Source organism: Homo sapiens, chromosome 8 (genome assembly GCF_000001405.40).
Source record: "Homo sapiens chromosome 8, GRCh38.p14 Primary Assembly".
In the NCBI taxonomy this organism is placed as follows: domain Eukaryota; kingdom Metazoa; phylum Chordata; class Mammalia; order Primates; family Hominidae; genus Homo; species Homo sapiens.
In genome coordinates this window covers 143,579,584-143,597,504 of record NC_000008.11, presented here as the reverse complement: position 1 = coordinate 143,597,504, position 17,921 = coordinate 143,579,584, and the positions used below count along the sequence as shown (strand labels likewise).

The window sequence follows — 17,921 nt, the reverse complement described above, 5'->3', positions numbered from 1 at the left end:
TGCAAGGGTCGCGTCCCCCCCCCGGGCCCCCGGCCCGTGGCTCTTGGTAGAGCCCAGTGCTTCATTTCCCGTGCGCGGCCCGGGCGGCCCTCCCTTTCATCAGTCTTCCCGCGTCCGCCGATTCCTCCTCCTTGGTCGCCGCGTCCTTGGCTGGCGTGTGAGTACCGCGGCCCCCGCCGGAAGGAGTCGGGCGCGACAGAGACGCCCGAGGGGCCGGGAGGGCGGGCGGCCCGGGCTGCGCCAGAAGCTCGCGCCGTTAGGGACTGAGGCACAAGTGCGCCAGCGCGGGCTTAGGGGCCGTGGGCCAAGTGCGGCACTTGGGGCGAGCGCAGAGAGGCGGGGCGACGGAGGCCACGTGGCCGGCTTGGAGGGCGTCCGCGGGACGGGGGCGCCGGGAGCACTGTCTCACGGCGCATCCCGGTCGTGGAAGCCCCTCGGCCAGGCTGCTGGGGCCTAAGGCCTGTGTTTGCTGCCGTCTCCGTGGGAGACCAGACATCTGCCCCAGCTGTTTCTCTGGCCTGCAGACCTTCGTACACCACGTCTTTGTCAAGCACCAGTTACTGCACGCATCAGCTGAGCACGGAGGGGATAGGCACGGACGCAACACTTTTGGAACTTAGACGCTAGTGAGCACGGAAAGGAATAAGCCTGTACTGTGACTGGGTCAAAATTTCTGTCTCTTGATTTGGATAGGGTGGTCGGGCAGTCTCTGAAGGGGGCGGGGATGCTGTTGCTAAGAAGTAGTACTTTCAGAGGCTTTAAGTGGAAGGAAGAAGGCAAAGGGGGCGGAGTGGGTTGGGGACCTGATGAGACGTCAGGATTGGTTTCCAGAATGAAGGACCGCCTGGCAGCAGAAGAACTGTGTAGCTAAACTTGGGGTTGTCCCTGCCCGACAGGGCGGGGTGCTTCTTAAGTTGACACTGCCTGCGGCTCACCTCCCAGGGAGGCAGGCCAGGCCATCTCACCTGAGCAGCCTCCTTCTACAGCTCCGCCCACCCCGTCATCTGGACCCCATGAGCCTTAAGCAGCTGGCTCGCAGGCAGTTGGTTACTTCCGGAGCCCGTGTGTGCCCAGCCCCGTTCTGGGGGTGGGGGATGCAGCTGAGGGGCTGGGCAGGTGTGGAAGGAGCCCCCGAGCGTCCTCTGAGGAAGTAGACGCTCACCTTCGCCTTCTCACCACATGCCTCAGGCCCAGCCAGGCTCCTAGACCTGCCTCTGTAGAGGCTTTCTGGGCGCAGTGCCAATCCTGTGAGACAGCAGCATCTCCCCTGGGCTGCTGCAGGGTTCACACGCAGTCAGTGCTGGCAGAGTGAGCGCCCAGCCGACAGAGCCCCCGCTGCCTCCCGCCTCCTCTGGAGGACTAGGCCCTCTGGGCTTTGCTCCCGGGTTGCTGGGTGAGGCTGCAAGGTTTAGCACAGGTGGGCACACGTGCTTGATGATGGACAAAGAGTACCTGGGCTGTGCCGTGCACTGGCGTCAGCCTTCTGGGGGCTGAGGACAGGAAATGTGGCATTGAGGATTTGTGGGTCATCATCCTGTGCCAGTGTGTTAAGGTGACATCAGCGTGTTGGAAGCTGGTGGCAGTGAGTTATGCTAAGTGCTGGTGTAGGAGCCTGCCACAGGTCTCCAGCTCTCCCACCTCGCTGACAGCCAAGGGTGCCGTGTGAGGTGTGGCGTGGGTATTGTCTGGGGTTCCAGAAAGCCTGTGCCGTGCTGGAGTCACCCAGGAGGCACAGGGGCTGCGCCGGGCAGGCAGGTCGGCCAGAGCCCCTCAAGCAGGGCTGGCCATGGAGCTGGCCTGCAGTGGCATTTAAGAAAAGACGTGGTTGGGGCGGGGCTTGGCCTGGGGCAGGGTGGGTTGGGTAGCTACAGTGAGTGCTCTGAGATATGCAGGACAGGCTGGCGTTTCCCAGTGGGGCTGGAATATCCAGGGGTCAGACAGGAAAGTGGCTGAGTGGGAATGTGGAACTGTGGAGTTTTTTCTCTTAAAAAGACCAAAGGCGGCTGGGCGTGGTGGCTCATGCTGGTGATCCCAGCACTTTGGGAGGCCGAGGCAGGCAGATCATGAGGTCAGGATATCGAGACCATCCTGGCCAACATGGTGAAACCCCGTCTCTACTAAAAATACGAAAATTAGGCTGGGCGCATGGCTCATGTCTGTAATCCCAGCACTGTGGGAGGCCAAGGCAGGCAGATCACCTGAGGTCAGGAGTTCGAGACCAGCCTGGCAAACATGGTGAAACCCCATCTCTACTAAAAATATGAAAAAATAGCCAGGTGTGGTGGCACACGCCTGTAATCCCAGCTACTTGGGAGGCTGAGGTAGGAGAATTGCTTGGACCCGGGAGGTGGAAGTTGCAGTGAGCTGAGATCGTACCACTGCACTCCAGCCTGGTGACAGAGTGAGGCTCCGTCTCAAAAAAAACCCAAAAATTAGCTGGCCGTGGTTGCGCATGCCTGTAGTCCCAGCTACTTGGGAGGCTGAGGCAGGAGAATCGCTTGAACCGGGGAGTTGGAGGTTGCAGTGAGCCAAGATCGCGCCACTGCACTCCAGCCTGGGTGACAGAGTGAGACTCCGTCTCAAAAAAAGACCGAAGGCCTCACTCCACGCAGGAAGACATTGATCTGTCCTGTGGCTGCTCTGCCGTGCGGTGGTTTTGCCTAAAGACCCGCTTCCTCAGGGGCTCCAGCCTCTTTTAAGGGCTAGTCGTCGCGCCCTTTGGGCACTGAAGGTACTGAAAGTTCTATCAGGCAGTGCCAGTCCACAGACTCAGGCCAGCCAGGTGGGCCGGAGAGGGGTGCTGCTGGGAGGGGTGGGCGTGCACAGGCTGAGCCGGTGGCTGACCCCGTCCCCTGCCCACCTCCCTGACTTCTCCCTGTGGAGGGTGGACAATCTGGGAGCCTGTCTGTGTGTGCGACTGTGATGGGGTGGCGTGGAGGGCAGGGCCTGGGAGCCAGCTCCTCCCAGAAAGCTTCCGTTTGCCCAGATGTGTGGAGACCTCCAGGCCGTGCAGCACCTTGGTGGCCACAGCTCTCCAGGATGTCCTCACCTTCCTCAGGGCCCTGCCCTCCTGACCTGGAGTGTTCTGGGTAGGAGTCTGCCGGGGCTGCTCCCAGGACAGGGACAGGGGAGGCTGTGAGGGCCATGCCGCTGCAGTGGGTCTTGCTGGCTGCCACCTGTGTCACAGGCCCTGTTAGCTGGGTGGAGCCTTCCAGAGCCAGGACCCCAGGGCACTCTCAAACTCTGGGCAGCTGCCAGAGGCTCAGGTGCTTGGCAGACACTGTCTACCCCTCAGGGAAGAGCCTTGGTGGTGAGCCTGGCCTGCTTCCAGGAGCAGAGTAGGGACACTTTGGCCACTTCCCCCTGGGGCCTGGCTCTGGCGTTTCCAAGACTGCTTCTCTGGCAGCCAGCTGTCTCCCTGTGTTCTCTTTAGAAAGCTCCTCCTGAGCTTGGATAAACTGCAGGAGCGAAGGGGCTGACCGTTTGTCGGGACGCAGTTGAAAGAGTCGCTGTGTCCTGCTCCGGGCTCTCCTGCTGGAGAGGAGAGGCTTGCACGTGCCTGTCGTCTGCGCAAGCTTTGAAGCTCAGACTTGGTCTCTGTTAGGAGAGATGGTGCGCTGCGTCCGGCAGGTCCTCCCATGCTTGGGAATGCGGGAAGCGGGGAAATGAGGAGGTGGGCTCGGACGTGTGGGGGGCTGTGCTGGCTGTCCTGGGAGGCTCTCTGCCCGCTGTTAGTGGCCAGCTCCCCAGGTGACGGGCCTGGCCTCCAGGTCTCCAGCATGGCTTACTGTGGTGTCTCCTGAGGGCTTCCTCTCTGCAGGGAAGCCCACCCAAGATCCCTCTTACTGGTCCCATGGGGCAGCTGCCTCCGTAGCATCCTCGTCTCCACCAGACCCCTGCAGGGTGCCCAGTTCCTCCCTGCAGGGTGCTCCCTGCTGCAGTGTGGGGTGCACAGAGGTGGGCAGGGCCCTGGGGCCGGAGCTCCCGTTGGTGAAGGAAGACGGATCCCAGCCAGGGCTCTCGGGTTGATCAGCAGTAGGAGGTGGCCCCTCCTGCCCAGTCCCACCCAGGACATGGGCTGGTGGCTGGGCTTTCAGCTGTGCCCAGCTGCCCTTCGCAGAGCTTGCAGGGTTTATGAGGTGGCTCTGGTGAGATTAGGGGCAGGACACCTAGTGTCTCCAGCCGAGGAGTGAACTGGGTGGAGGTCCTGTCCTTGTGTGCACATTGTGGGAGAGTCAGTCTGGGAGGCCTTTGTAGCTTGTGCTGGGGCCCTTGGGTGCCAGCCCTGTCTTGACGGTGGCTCCTGCTGAGAGAGAGGCCCTGTATTAATGTGAGCCCTGGGCTGCCTCCCCCTTGAGGGTCCTTGTCATCTTCCGGGCCTCCTTCAGCAGACCGGACACAGGGGCAGTGCAGGTGAGGGGCTTGGGGGAGCTCCTTGGCAGCTCCAGGGGATGCTTGTGGGCGCTGGCTTATCTTGTCTCAGGCTACCTTGCTCAGGTGACGACAGGGTGGGTGGATTTGGGAAAGGTTGGCTCAGATAGTGGTCCCTGCTTGTCCCCCAGGGCCTGCCTAGGCTCCAACTGACAGTAATCCCAAGAGCTCCCCTTTCAGGGGATGACGGAGTGACGTCACCTGTGTGGACTCAGCTGCCACCTGGGATTGTGGTGGCGGCGGGTCTGTCTGGCGCTCAGCTTCCATCTCCACCAGTGTCACCTCCACACCACCTCGCCAAGCAGCTTCTGGAAAGGCCCCCGGCCGCCCCGGGCTGACCTGCTGCTGTGTCTGACCCGGTTAGTCTTTCTGGCTGCCTCTAACCTTGCTGCTTTTCCTTCATGCTGTCCTAGGAGGCCAAAGCAAAGTAAGTACTCGCCTGTCCTCATGCCCCATTCCCCTTCATTTGACCGGGGAACCCCCAGCCCTCGCTGCACCTGAGGGAACCCAGCACCACCTGCGCATGGCCCAGTCTGCCCAGAGGGCCTCAGTTTCCCATCTGGAAAGTGGAGGAATTGGGTTTTCTGGATGGGGCAGCAGCAGGTGGGCACCCTGTGTGGCCGTGAGCAGGGTCCTGTCCTGGGCTGGCGGGTCAGCAGCTGACATGCGGCTCCCTGCAGGGAACAGGTGGCAGTGCCAGGTCTCGGTAGGAGCCTTGAAGTGGCTTCCCCTCCCTGAGCGGCGGCTTCTGCCCGGAGCCCCCAAGAACATAGTCTGAGGCCACTTTGGCCAATAAAGTCTGGTAGGGCATCAACACTGGGGGCCAGCTCAGTGGCACTGCTGATGGGACCTGCACGGCTCCATGGGAGCAGAGAGACTGGTGGGGGTACCACCGCACGATGTCACAATGCCCTGTCTCCTGGGCTCTTGCTCCCACCCCACCCCCAACCCACAACCCCTGCCTCTGCCCATCAGCCTGGCCTTGGTAAGTGCTGCCCCAGCCTGGGGAAGGAATGAGCAGGGGAGCCTAGGGAGCGTCTTCATGGGCCCTGTGGCCTCCCATGGGCCCCGGTTCCTCGTTGGTGCCATTAGAACTTGTTGCTGGGACTGCGGGATTCGGGCCACATGCCCGCAAAGAACTCCATGTTCCACTTAGAGGCTGCAGAGTGCAGTGCCAGGGGTGCCTTCCCAAAAGTCCTCCCTGCCTGGGTGGAGCGTAGACAGCTCAGCACCCCACGGGGGGCGTTGGAGCCAGCCTTGGTTTTGTTGGGTAAGGATGTTAGAAGAGGGGCGAAGACCCATAGCCACTGGTGTGAAGGGTCTGCTCTTGACCGAAGGCTGCCTCCCTCTGGGTGCAGACCAGGCAGGTGGTCCCAGTCACGGTGCCCTGGGGCCACTGGGTCTGTCTGCCCTCAGGCTCCACTAGACACACCTGCGGAGGCAGCAGACTAGCAGCGGTGTCTGTGAGGGGCAGCTGCACAGCCCCCTCTTGAGGGTGCTCCTAGGCGTTGGTTAGGCCCAGGCGTTTCTGCTTTTGGGGAGCAGAGCCTGGAGTCGGGCATGGCTGGGGAGGAAGCTATCGCAGGCTGAGCGCGGGCTGGGGTGCTGACCTGCATCCCAAGAGCAGATTTGCCCCTGGCCTTCTGGGCCTGTCCTTTCTGTAACACCACACTGGACACCTGGGAGCAGAGCGTGCCCCCGGCAGGATCCCACATGGCTGCTGGAGCACTGGGGCAGCAGGTGACTGAGGTCGCCCAGAGCTTGAGGGAACACCTCATCCAGGGAGGAGGCTGAGGCTCCCAGGCCACAGTAGCAAGTGGGGAGTGGAGCCTCACAACCTGCCTCCCACCAAGATGGTCCCTCTTAACATTACACAGAAGCAAAACCTTAGAGGGGGCCCTGATGTCCTGGGACTGTGAGAGCCCCATGATTCCCCTTTAGCTTGGATGGACCCAAAGGTATGGACTCCAGCTGGGAGGCGGGGGCAGCTGATAGAGAGCCTAGAGCCGTCTCAGTGCTCCAGGCGCTTGGCCCCTCCTTTCTACACAGTGGTCACCAGCATCCTCCCTGGCGTCTCCTTCATGAGTGGGCACTCCACCCTCTGCCCGGCCACCTGGCCCCCTCCTGGGGAGGACAGTCAGGCCCACAAAGAAGCTCCCTCTTTTTTTTTCTTTTCCCCTGCTCTGTTGTCCAGGCTGGAGTGCAGTGGCGCCATCTCGGTTCACTGCAAGCTCCGCCTCCCGGCTTCACGCCATTCTCCTGCCTCAGCCTCCCTAGGAGCTGGGACTACAGGCGCCTGCCACCACGCCCGGCTAATTTTTATTTTTATTTTTAGTAGAGACAGGGTTTCAACGTGTTAGCCAGGATGGTCTCAGTCTCCAGACCCTGTGATCCGCCCGCCTCGGCCTCCCAAAGTGTTGGGATTACAGGTGTGAGCCACCGTGCCTGGCCGAGGCTCCTTCTTTTGTAAGAACTTTGAGGGTGCTCTGGGTGTGGCAGTGGTGTGGCCAGGACAGCCACAGAGACCGTTCTGTAGAATGGGAACACCAGCCACCATGGTGGGGTGGCCAGGCCTGGCCTGTGGAAAAATGCAGGGAAAGCTAGTTAGCCAGTTAAAGCTTATTTCAGATAAATGACGAAAAATTTTTAGTGTAAGTATGTCTCAGATACTTCATGGGCCATACATTCACTAACAAAATTATATATTGTTCATGTATTGGGAGGCACTTGGCCTCCCAGAGTACTGAGATTACAGGCATGAGCCACTGCGCCCGGCCTGTTTTCTCTTCACAACAAAACGTCCCCACATGGGCTTGACTTCGAAGTCCTCGAATGTCATCTCATGGAAGCCCCACTGGGGAGCATCCTCAGCCCCTGCCCAGGGAGGGCAGCCACGGGGAGGGCGGGCACGGGGAGGGTGGGCACGGGGCTGCGGCCACCCGCTGTGTTGCAACTCTGCCCTCTGCTTGCTTTTTATCGCTGTGTCCGGAAGATGAGGAGCGGGAAGGCCTCCTGCACCCTGGAGACCGTGTGGGAAGACAAGCACAAGTATGAGGAGGCCGAGCGGCGCTTCTACGAACACGAGGCCACACAGGCGGCCGCCTCCGCCCAGCAGCTGCCAGCCGAGGGGCCAGCCATGAATGGGCCCGGCCAGGACGACCCTGAGGACGCTGATGAGGCGGAAGCCCCTGACGGCGGCAGCAGGCGTGATCCCAGGAAGAGCCAGGACAGCAGGAAGCCCCTGCAGAAAAAGAGGAAGCGCTCCCCCAAGAGCGGGCTCGGCCCCGCGGACCTGGCCCTCCTGGGCCTCTCGGCCGAACGCGTGTGGCTGGACAAGTCACTTTTCGACCAGGCAGAGAGCTCCTACCGCCAGAAGCTGGCAGATGTGGCTGCCCAGGCAGCCTGGCCTCCTGCCTTGGCCCCTTGGGGTCTCTGCACCCATGGAAACCAGGTGGCCTGCCACCACGTGACCTGGGGGATCTGGGTCAACAAGTCCTCCTTCGACCAGGCTGAGCGGGCCTTCGTGGAGTGGTCTCAGGCCCTGTTGCTGGCCCCCGACGGCAGCCGCAGGCAGGGGACTCCCAACACAGGCCAGCAGGTGGCCGTCCCCGACCTGGCCCACCAGCCCAGCCCACCGGTCAATGGCCAGCCCCCGCTGGGCAGCCTGCAGGCACTGGTTCGGGAGGTGTGGCTGGAGAAGCCCCGGTATGATGCAGCCGAGAGGGGCTTCTACGAGGCCCTGTTTGACGGCCATCCCCCAGGGAAGGTGCGCCTGCAAGAGCGAGCCGGCCTGGCCGAGGGTGCCCGGCGGGGCCGCAGAGACCGGCGGGGCCGCAACATCTTAGGGAACAAGCGGGCCGGGCTGCGACGGGCCGATGGGGAGGCCCCCTCTGCCTTGCCCTACTGTTACTTCCTGCAGAAGGATGCAGAGGCCCCCTGGCTCAGCAAGCCTGCCTACGACAGCGCCGAGTGCCGCCACCACGCTGCCGAGGCCCTGCGGGTGGCCTGGTGCCTCGAAGCTGCCTCCCTGTCTCACCGACCCGGTCCTCGGTCTGGCCTGTCCGTGTCCAGCCTGAGACCCAAGTAGGAGAAACGTGCTGGGTGGGCACCCAGCCTGGGCTGTGGGCACAGGGACAGCCATCCCAGGCTGGGGCTCCTCCAGCTTCCTCCCCTGCCCACCTGGGGTGGGGGCTCCCCGAGACCCGTGGGCCCAGCAGAGTTGAATGCAGGAGCAGGCTGAGTAAAGGTGGTGCTGCGCTTGTGGGTTCCAGGGACACTGCTTGAGGTTACAAAGTTCCAGGCTGCCTGGATGAGGGCAGGGAAGGGCTCAGCACAGGGCAGAATCTCTGCCTTGCCCAGGGTCCCTCTTTGGCTGGGAAGCTCCCCAAGTCCCCTGTGGCTGTCACATGCCAGGGCTGAGAAGATAAGGCTACTTATAGGGGCGGGAAGCATTGAAGCTGGTTTCTGGCCCTAGCGCTCCCCTGCGATGAGATGTGGGAGCCAGTGTGTCCCTGCCTGTCCATCCTGTGCACCCCCAGCTTTCCTTGTCACCTGAAACCACCTCTGAGGGAAGGTGGTGGCGTCTCAGATGCATGGGCATGTGGCTGGTCAGGTGGCCTCCATCCCAGGGTGCCCCGTCTGTGTGACCTCCCTCTGGGTGCTGTGGGCTTGCTCCAGGGTGCAGGTGCAACCCCAGCAGCGGTCTCTGGGGCCAGGCAGGTGGGTGGACGATTGGACTTGGAGGGGAATACAGAGGGCATGGAAGTGGCGAGGCTGGCCTGTTGGCGAGGGTGTCCTGGTGGTGGGGCGGGCTGAGTCAGGGAAGGACTCTGAAGGTCCCAAGCAGCTGCTGAGGCCCCCAAGGAAGTGGTTCCAACCTTGGACCCCTAGGGGTCTGGATTTGCTGGTTAACAAGATAACCTGAGGGCAGGACCCCATAGGGGAATGCTACCTCCTGCCCTTCCACCTGCCCTGGTGTTCACGGTGGCCTGGTCCCTCCTTGCCGAGAGAGTGTCCTGGGTCAGGGACGCAGAGGACGCTCACAGACTCCAGCCCTTTGTTACCGAGAGGACACTTGGCAAGGTCCAGCGATGGTCCGGAGTCCACACACAGACTGGCGGCAGGGCAGGAGGGGGACAGTTCTGTTGTGCTTGGTTGGACAGTAAGAGGGTCTTGGCCAGTCCAGGGTGGGGGGCGGCAAACTCCATAAAGAACCAGAGGGTCTGGGCCCCGGCCACAGAGTCATCTGCCCAGCTCCTCTGCTGCTGGCCAGTGGGAGTGGCACGAGGTGGGGCTTTGTGCCAGTAAAACCACAGGCTGGATTTGCCTGCGGGCCATGGTCCCTGTCTAGGGCAGCAATTCTCAACCTTCTTGCTCTCAGGACCCCAAAGAGCTTTCATTGTATCTATTGATTTTTACCACATTAGCAATTAAAACTGAGAAATGGGCCGGGCACGGTGGCTCACGCCTGTAATCCCAGCACTTTGGGAGGCCGAGGCGGGTGGATCACCTGAGATCAGGAGTTCAAGACCAGCCTGGCCAACATGGTGAAACCTTGTCTACTAAAAATACAAAAAATTAGCCAGGCACAGTGGTGTGCACTGGTAGTCCCAGTTACTCGGGAGGCTGAGGCAGGAAAATCGCTTGAACCCAGGAGGCGGACGTTGCGGTGAGCCGAGATCGCGCCGCTGATTCCAGCCTGGGCGACAAGAGTGAGACTCCATCTCACACAAAAAAAAAATAACAAAAAAACTCAGAAATGCTAAGTGTACTTATTTGTTGAAGAAACTTGTTACATATTACTAACATCTTTTTTTTTTATGAGAAATACTTTTCCCATAACCAAAAAATTCAGTGAGCAGAATGGCCTTGCTTGAGGTTTTTGCAAATCTCTCGGGTGTCTGGCTTAGTGGGAGGCAGCTGGGCCCTCATACCTGCCTCCGCACTTCAGCTGTTTGACATAAACCCAGCTTCGTGTGAGTGAAAGGGAAGGGCCTGGGGACCCTCAGAGGTTCTCGGACCACACTTTGAGAACTCCTCGTCTGGAAGACAGGCCTGGGGATGCCATGTGGGGTGAGGGCTTACGGGCTTGGTGTCGCTTTGTGGAGAACCGCTGGTGTCTGAAGCGGGTGTCAGCCCCACTGCACCTTGGTGCTTCTGGGCTGTCCTGATGCCGAGGCCCACTTCCCAGCCATGCTGACTTTGCCTCTTTCCCCTCCCAGCAGAAAAATGGCTACAAACTTCCTAGCACATGAGAAGATCTGGTTCGACAAGTTCAAATATGACGACGCAGAAAGGAGATTCTACGAGCAGATGAACGGGCCTGTGGCAGGTGCCTCCCGCCAGGTGAGAGCTGCACGTGGGGCGGCTGGGCGGCTCTGCTGCCCGACAGGAGTGGCCGGGGCACACAAAGCGGATTCAGCCAGGCCAGGAAGGCAGAGGCACCCTGGCCCAGTGGCTCTGCTGTGGGTGCTGGGAGTGGGGTCTCGGGGCAGGCGGCCTTGGCCGGGCCCCCGGGCCGGGTCTGCTCAGGGCCCTCCTGCCGGCGCCTGTGCACTTGGTGTGGGGCCAGGCCTGGCACTCCTTCCCCCGCAGACATGGGCGCCTTTGCCTGTCGTCACAGCCTCAGGCATCTCCCGCTTTTCTGGCCCGCCAAGCTCTCGTTCTGTGCAGTACTTTCTTGCTGTCTCTATGTGAGGGTTCATGGGGTTTTTTGGTTTGTTTTTTAATTAAATTCTTTTTTAATAATAAAAAAAAGACTGGTTCTTTCTGCACTGTCTGCAGGAGAACGGCGCCAGCGTGATCCTCCGTGACATTGCGAGAGCCAGAGAGAACATCCAGAAATCCCTGGCTGGAGTGAGTACCCGCGGCCCACGGACCTGCGGGCTCCTGCTCGGCCAAGCAGCATGTCTGATTTTTCCTGATGCTGCTGGTTGTTTTGGCTTCACAGCAGAGTCAGGGCAGGGTGCACGGCGCTGTGCTCCTTGGGACGTGTGGCTCTGTGACCTCCATGCCCGGACTGCCACGGACAGTGTTCTTATTCTCGCGTCCCTTCCGTGCTTACCTCGTCTGCCGGCTGGCGGTCACACTGGCCGCTCCTGTGGGGCCGGCTGGGAGCTGAGTGGTGCCATTTGCAGGGTGTCCTGTGGGCACCTGGCATGAGAGCCTGTGCCTCCCTGCTTGCTCCCTGTGGCAGGACTGTGTGTCTGCTGGGCCTTCCCACATTCCCTCTTAGATCTTGCCTCACTGGGGAGAGAGAAGTGGTGGTTCTGCAAGGCGCAAGGAGTTCAGAGCCTAGAGTTGGCACCGTCTTGAGTTGGAGACCCAGAAGGAGCCCTGTATCCCTGCTTGGCCTCCAGGCCCCGGGCCAAGATCAGGAGTTGGAGGCAGTAGCTGTGGCCTGACAGGCTGGCTGGGGAAGGGGTGTCCTCCGGGAGGTGGCAGCCCTGGTGTTCCCGAGGAGTTGGGACTGCGTTCTCCCCGGGACGGGGTGGTGTCCTGGCCCCAAGAACGGGGTCAGTGTTTCTGTGGCTGCTGCTATGGCTTTCCACAGCCTCACGCTGGAAACAGTACATCTGTATCATGCCGGGTTTCCAGGCCAGAAATCTGAAATGTGTCTCACGAGGCTGTCCCCAGTGTCAGCAAGGTCGCCATCCTTCCAAAGGCTCAGGAGGAGTCTGTTCCTTTGCCTCTCCCAGATTCTGGTGGATGCCCACGTTGCTTGTTTCAAGGTGCTCAGCAGGCAGCCTCATCCCCGCCCCGCCTCCACTTCCATCTCGCGCCTCTCTCGAACCTCCTGCCTCGCTCTGTCACTTACGTGGTTCTTGTACTTGCTTTGGGCCCCCAGGATCCCAGGTCCAGGATGTTCCCACCTCAAAATCCTGAATTTAATCGTGTTTGCCAATTCTTCTTTTTGCCATGTAAGGTAGTGGATTTGCAGGCTCTGGGGGTTGGGACGTGGGCGCCGGAGATTCTCATTGTCTCATTTGTAAGGTGCATTGCTCCTCACCAACATCTGCAGAAGCCTGGGTCCCCCACAGTGTCCCTCCAAAGTCCAGAATCCCATCCAATCAGGCATGGGGGATTGCGTGGTCCATCCTGAGGCAAAATTCCTCTCCATCTGTGGACCAGTGAAACTGGAAAGCAAGTTATCTGCTCCCAAAATACAATTGTGGGACAGGCATTCCCTTTCAAAATGGGAAAAAGAAGAAGGAAACAGGGCGTCACTAGTCCCAGGCAGTTTCACAGTCCAGCCCGGCGGGTCACGTGAGGTTTGAAGGGAGCGCTCCTGTGTGGCCCATGGTCCCCCCCGCTGTCATTTTTTAACATCCCTATTCCTACCAACAGCATGTTCGTGGCAGTTTAGGTTGTTCTAGAAGATGACGTGTTTTCTCTGCCCTGCTCCTCACCTCCTCTGAGTCCTCACCGAGGGCCTTAGCATCTGAATTCTGCCAACAGGGTGCTCAAGACAGGCTAGGGTTTTTCTTTTGGAGGGGGTGGGTGAGTTGTGGACAGAGTCTTGCTCTGTCGCCCAGGCTGGAGTACAGTGGCATGATCCTGGCTCACTGCAACCTCAGCCTCTGGGGTTCAAGCGATTCTCCTGTGTCAGCCTCCCGAGTAGCTGAGACTGCAGGTGTCTGCCACCAAGCCCAGCTGACATTTTTTTTTCTTTTTTTTTTTTTTTTTAGTAGCGGCAGGGTTTCGCCATGTTGGCCAGGCTGGTCTTGAACTCCTGACCTTATGATCTGCCCACCTCGGCCTCTCAAAGTGCTGGGATTACAGGCGTGAGCCACTGTGCCCGGCCCAGTCTAGGGGTTTTCTGTCACGCTCCTCAAAATTCTTCCCGCCTCACCACTGCCCAACTCCAAAGCCATCTCCACATTGTTAGGCATTCCAGCAGCACCCCACTTCCTGGGCCAGGATCTGTGTTGGTTTCCACTTGATGTTGCTGTAACGTTGCCACACTTCCGTGGCTTAAAACAGCACAAGTTCCTCACCTTACAGTTCCGGGGGCCAGAAGTCTGAGATCATCTTATGGGGCAAAATCAAGGCTGTGGTCCTTCTGGTGTCTCTGCGGGGAGAATCCGCTTCCTTGTCTCTTCTGGCTGCTGGAAGCTGCTCACGGTCCTTGGCCCAAGGCTCCCAGGCAGCTGTCTTGTCACTCAGCCTCCCTCTCCCCTCCCTCGCTCCTGCTGCCTAGTGTGGGCCCTTGTGATGACAGTGGGCCCACCTGGGTGATCCAGCATCCTCTCTGCCGCTTAACTTAATCTTATCACATCTACAGAATCCCTTTGCCATGGGAGACCATATTTACAGGCTCTGCGGACTCGTATGTGGCTTTGTGGGGGCCATTGTTCTGTCTGCCACAGCCACAGCCACCTAGGGGTGTGCTGGCTCCCGGGCCATAAGCTGGGCATCCCTGGGTGGGTGGGCCCAGGAAGGGCTGCCACTCCTGTCTGCCAGGTGGGGTGCTCCTTTGTGCCTTGCGTTCTGCCCACTGGCTTGCACCCCTGGCTTGCCCAGGCACCTGACCAAGTCCAGGCTAGGCAGACATGAGATTAAGGGAGCACAGATTTTTGCGCCCAAGTCAGGCATATTGCACTCCAGTGCCCAGAAGGCAGCGGTCGGGGGCTTGGCCCTGGGGCTGCAGGAACTCTTCAGCCCTGGCTGTGTGGAGTCAACCCTAAGGTGTCTCTGGGACAGGCAGGTGGTCGCACTGTTAGGGCTTAGGGACTGGTTTGCTGCTATAACAAAGGTCCATAGACTGGGTGACTTAAACCACATGTATTTTCTCACAGCTCTGGAGGCTGGAAGTCCATGATCGAGGTGGCAGCAAGGCTGGTTTCTCCTGAGGCCTCTCTCAGCATGTAGACCGTCTTCTCCATGTCTTCACACGGTCATCCATCTGAGTGTGTGTGTGTCCTGATGTCTTCTTATTGGACACCAGTCAGATTGGATTAGCCCCCTGCCCCTCAGTGACAGTTACCTCTGCAAAGGCCCTGTCTCCAAATAAGGTCACATCCTAAGATACCGGGGGATAAGACTCCAGCATGTGGATTTGGAAGGACATTATTCAGCCCATGGCAGGGGCCCAGTCTCATCTTGGATTTGGGGTGGGAGTGCTCAGCAGACACTGGGGTTTCAGAACTGCAGGGTTTCTGGTAGCGTGGTGCTGGCACAGGGTTACAGGCATGGGTCTGGCTCTGAAGTGTTTGCCTTTGGCATCCCCCAAGTCCCTGAGGGGCTCTCTGAGGCCCGCTGTGACTGCACTGGGTGACCTGAGCCTGCCCGTTGAAGCTGTGCTCAGGGATTCTGATGCCTGGCATCCCTAGTCCCCCCTGAGTCAGCATCAAAGGAGGGGACTCTCCCTGTGTCCTGAGTGCTGTGGGCTCTGGCCTAGTGGCCCGCAGAGCCAGGCAGTGGTGAGACGGCCCCCGCTGCTCATCATGCAGCCCGGGGCCAGTGCTGACTTAGTGCCTCTTCCAGAGGGGACCTTTTCCCTGTCCTTGGGCCTGCTGTGTGGGGTGCATGAGGCCTCAGGTGCCACTCACAGACTCCGGCCTCCTCAGGACCCAGCCCCACTCCCGCGGGAGGTCTGCTGTGATTCTCCATGCCCCCTGGCGCCCCAAAGCCTGGCCCTCCCGTGCTCCGGCTTCTGCCCCCGAGTTTGTCAGTTTCTGCCGGTGCCTCCCGTACCCCCACCACCATTCACGCGCCTCTGCCAGCCTGGCCTTTCCCTGTCCATTTCCTCCTGGCCTTGCTGCCAGGTGGGCCTCCTGGGCCAGTTTGGCTCGGCCTTGCCCATGATCTGCGGGGCTTAGCTCCCACACCCTCCAGATACATAAACAAGCATTCCCCACAGCATGGTCCCAAGGACGGTGGCAGGAGGGCCCCAGGGATGGGTTTGCACGTTGGGCAAAGGCCTGAGTATGTCCGCACCTGCTGCAAGGAGCGGCTTTGCCTGCCCGGCTACTCCAGGCCCCTCCCCACAGAGAGGGAGCCCCGGGGAGCTGCCGAGATGGGGTTTGCTGAGAGCTCCATGCAGCCAGGTGCACCCTGTCCTTCGAGCCATCCTGTTGGAGGGTGGGCAGGCTAAATGGCCCATGCGTGCAGGTAGATGCTTAAGGACTGGCTAGTGTTAAGGGCCAGGAGGCTGGGATCCTGTCTGGGCCCCGAGGTATCAGTCTCAGCTATGGCAGAGTATGAGGTGGGCTTGGGGCCCTGGATCACCTAGAGACTGGCTTGCTGAGTGAGATGGCAGGCGTGAGGCCCAGGGAGACAAAGCTTTGGGTGGCTGCTGTCCACACAGGTGGGCTCCTTCCTTCTTCCCCCACTGGGCCCTCAGCTGCTCCCGCCTCCCATTTCCAGTGCTGCCTGGTCCCCTGAGGCGTGTCCCAGGTTGTCCCTAGGACTGTGAGTCCTTCAGCACCTCCCACCCAGCCTCTGAGCCTGGCTGCTCAGCAGGATTCCGCCGGGCAGCAGCAGCCATGGCCCAGCTCCCCACAGCCTCCGTCTCTGGGGCACCAAGAGCCTCCTGTCCTGGACTTTGCCTGGCTGAGAATTTCACTGTGGTCTGTGGTGGCCGCCACCTCTGAGGTCATAAGTTTGAGCTGGGCATCAGCGGGGGGCACCTCCTGCTCTCCCGAGCTGTAGTTTTCCTTCCGTGAGTTCCTGCAGTCCTGAGCATGGCAGGGGGACCCTAGGAGCAGGCTGGGCACTGAGCCCTCCCCTCCTCCTGCCTTGCAGAGCTCAGGCCCCGGGGCCTCCAGCGGCACCAGCGGAGACCACGGTGAGCTCGTCGTCCGGATTGCCAGTCTGGAAGTGGAGAACCAGAGTCTGCGTGGCGGTGAGGCCCCGGGCCAGTGGGTTGGGGCTGTCCCTGGCCCCTGCCATCTAACCGTGCTCCCCTTGCCCCCCCAGTGGTACAGGAGCTGCAGCAGGCCATCTCCAAGCTGGAGGCCCGGCTGAACGTGCTGGAGAAGAGCTCGCCTGGCCACCGGGCCACGGCCCCACAGACCCAGGTGAATGCTCTCCCCACGCCTGACACTGCAGGGGACCACGTGGCCCTGCTGGCTTCCACGTCGCCCTGTGGGCTGGCCCCAGCAGCAGTGATGAGCTGGCAGCCAGGATACTGGAGTCCTCAGGTCCCCAGGAAGGTTTACAGTTAGCCCTGGGCAGGTGGAGGCAGTTTTTGTCTTTCCTGGGGCCCTGCATGTACACAGCTGCGGTACACAGGGGCTGCCCTTCCTCCAGTCAAAGGAGGGAGGAGGGCCAGGAGGTGGCCAGGCAGCTCTGGGCCCTGGTTGGGGCGTCTCAGCCGTGCCTCCTGTCCCTTCCCCTGTGGCAGCACGTATCTCCCATGCGCCAAGTGGAGCCCCCAGCCAAGAAGCCAGCCACACCAGCAGAGGATGACGAGGATGATGACATTGACCTGTTTGGCAGTGACAATGAGGAGGAGGACAAGGAGGCGGCACAGCTGCGGGAGGAGCGGCTACGGCAGTACGCGGAGAAGAAGGCCAAGAAGCCTGCACTGGTGGCCAAGTCCTCCATCCTGCTGGATGTCAAGCCTGTGAGTGGGCGGGGTGGGGCTTCAGGGGGCCAGGCACTGCCCTGGTGCCCGCCTAGCCGGCTCAGCCTGTGACCCTCCCCCTGCCCTCTGGGTTCTGGGGAGACTTTAAAGCCGAGTTTAGAAGTCTTGGGATAAACACAAACTTGGAGGCAGGAAGGTGTGAATTTGGATTGTTTTCTGTGGGCCCTTTAAGGAAACAGAATTGTGGACACACAGTGGTTGAGGGTAGGGTGCATGCAGGTACTTCCTGGGTGTTCTGAGGGTGGCTGACCCCAGCTTTTCCTCCCCTTTCCCCACAGTGGGATGATGAGACGGACATGGCCCAGCTGGAGGCCTGTGTGCGCTCTATCCAGCTGGACGGGCTGGTCTGGGGGGCTTCCAAGCTGGTGCCCGTGGGCTACGGTATCCGGAAGCTACAGATTCAGTGTGTGGTGGAGGACGACAAGGTGGGGACAGACTTGCTGGAGGAGGAGATCACCAAGTTTGAGGAGCACGTGAGTGAGCCGGCCGGGGAGAGGAGGGGAGAGGAGACTGGGGACCCTGGCCCATACCCTGCACTCCACCCCACGGCAGTGGGGAGCGAGTCCCAGAGTGAACCCCACCTCAGAGGAGGCTCCTGGCTCCGAGTGGGCTGTAGGGGAACAGCCCTGACCGTCACCCTCCGCCTCTCCTCAGGTGCAGAGTGTCGATATCGCAGCTTTCAACAAGATCTGAAGCCTGAGTGTGTGTACGTGCGCGCGTGCGTGAGGCCCTGCCACGATTAAAGACTGAGACCGGCCCTCTGGCTCCGTCCTGGTCATTTCCTGCTCGTACCTGGCCTGTCTCCCTCCCTGTCTCAGCCCCATCTCTGCCCTGCTGTTCCCACACAGTCATCCTGGCTGCTGCCACCCTCTGTGGCCATGTCACCTTGCCCCCAGCAGAC

The 17,921-nt window shown here is 60.6% G+C and overlaps 1 protein-coding gene across 54 annotated transcripts, besides 3 other annotated features; it reads left to right on the top strand.

Annotated features, from left to right (window-relative positions):
* Window positions 1–89: 89 nt before the first annotated feature.
* Window positions 90–17,777, top strand: EEF1D (eukaryotic translation elongation factor 1 delta). 54 transcript variants are annotated; one of them, XM_047421441.1, is made up of 11 exons: window positions 90–157; window positions 4,845–4,858; window positions 6,767–6,897; window positions 7,424–8,514; window positions 10,653–10,776; window positions 11,215–11,286; window positions 16,177–16,276; window positions 16,351–16,451; window positions 16,778–16,999; window positions 17,299–17,493; window positions 17,675–17,777. In XM_047421441.1, exons 4-11 carry the CDS (start codon window positions 7,424–7,426, stop codon window positions 17,711–17,713), a joined length of 1,944 nt encoding a protein of 647 aa, XP_047277397.1. In that variant the 5' UTR covers window positions 90–157; window positions 4,845–4,858; window positions 6,767–6,897; the 3' UTR covers window positions 17,714–17,777. The 54 variants fall into 54 exon arrangements, with proteins under 54 accessions (XP_047277397.1, XP_047277377.1, XP_047277388.1 ...); XM_047421421.1 differs by lacking the exon at window positions 6,767–6,897 and adding an exon at window positions 2,987–3,089 and having other exon boundaries at window positions 90–626; window positions 3,434–5,416; XM_047421432.1 differs by lacking the exons at window positions 4,845–4,858; window positions 6,767–6,897 and adding exons at window positions 3,434–3,630; window positions 4,612–4,790 and having other exon boundaries at window positions 90–3,089.
* Window positions 843–1,442: an enhancer, noted in NCBI's record as "H3K27ac-H3K4me1 hESC enhancer chr8:144678233-144678832 (GRCh37/hg19 assembly coordinates)". NCBI's record gives its function as "activates a minimal SCP1, AML or CMV promoter by ChIP-STARR-seq in naive H9 embryonic stem cells {active_cell/tissue: H9 hESC(naive)}" and the evidence as "EXISTENCE:reporter gene assay evidence [ECO:0000049][PMID:30033119]".
* Window positions 7,417–7,916: an enhancer, noted in NCBI's record as "H3K27ac-H3K4me1 hESC enhancer chr8:144671759-144672258 (GRCh37/hg19 assembly coordinates)". NCBI's record gives its function as "activates a minimal SCP1, AML or CMV promoter by ChIP-STARR-seq in naive H9 embryonic stem cells {active_cell/tissue: H9 hESC(naive)}" and the evidence as "EXISTENCE:reporter gene assay evidence [ECO:0000049][PMID:30033119]".
* Window positions 7,917–8,418: an enhancer, noted in NCBI's record as "H3K27ac-H3K4me1 hESC enhancer chr8:144671257-144671758 (GRCh37/hg19 assembly coordinates)". NCBI's record gives its function as "activates a minimal SCP1, AML or CMV promoter by ChIP-STARR-seq in naive and primed H9 embryonic stem cells {active_cell/tissue: H9 hESC(naive and primed)}" and the evidence as "EXISTENCE:reporter gene assay evidence [ECO:0000049][PMID:30033119]".

What these genes read in the sequence shown, in the direction of transcription:
- EEF1D (XM_047421423.1), top strand. Translation starts at nt 5,294, where the DNA reads ATGGGAGCAGAGAGACTGGTGGGGGTACCACCGCACGATGTCACAATG. An exon ending in TCCAGAAATCCCTGGCTGGA is followed by an intron (nt 11,287 to 16,176) that starts GTGAGTACCCGC and finishes CCTGCCTTGCAG; the next exon opens with AGCTCAGGCCCCGGGGCCTC. An exon ending in GAACCAGAGTCTGCGTGGCG is followed by an intron (nt 16,277 to 16,350) that starts GTGAGGCCCCGG and finishes TTGCCCCCCCAG; the next exon opens with TGGTACAGGAGCTGCAGCAG.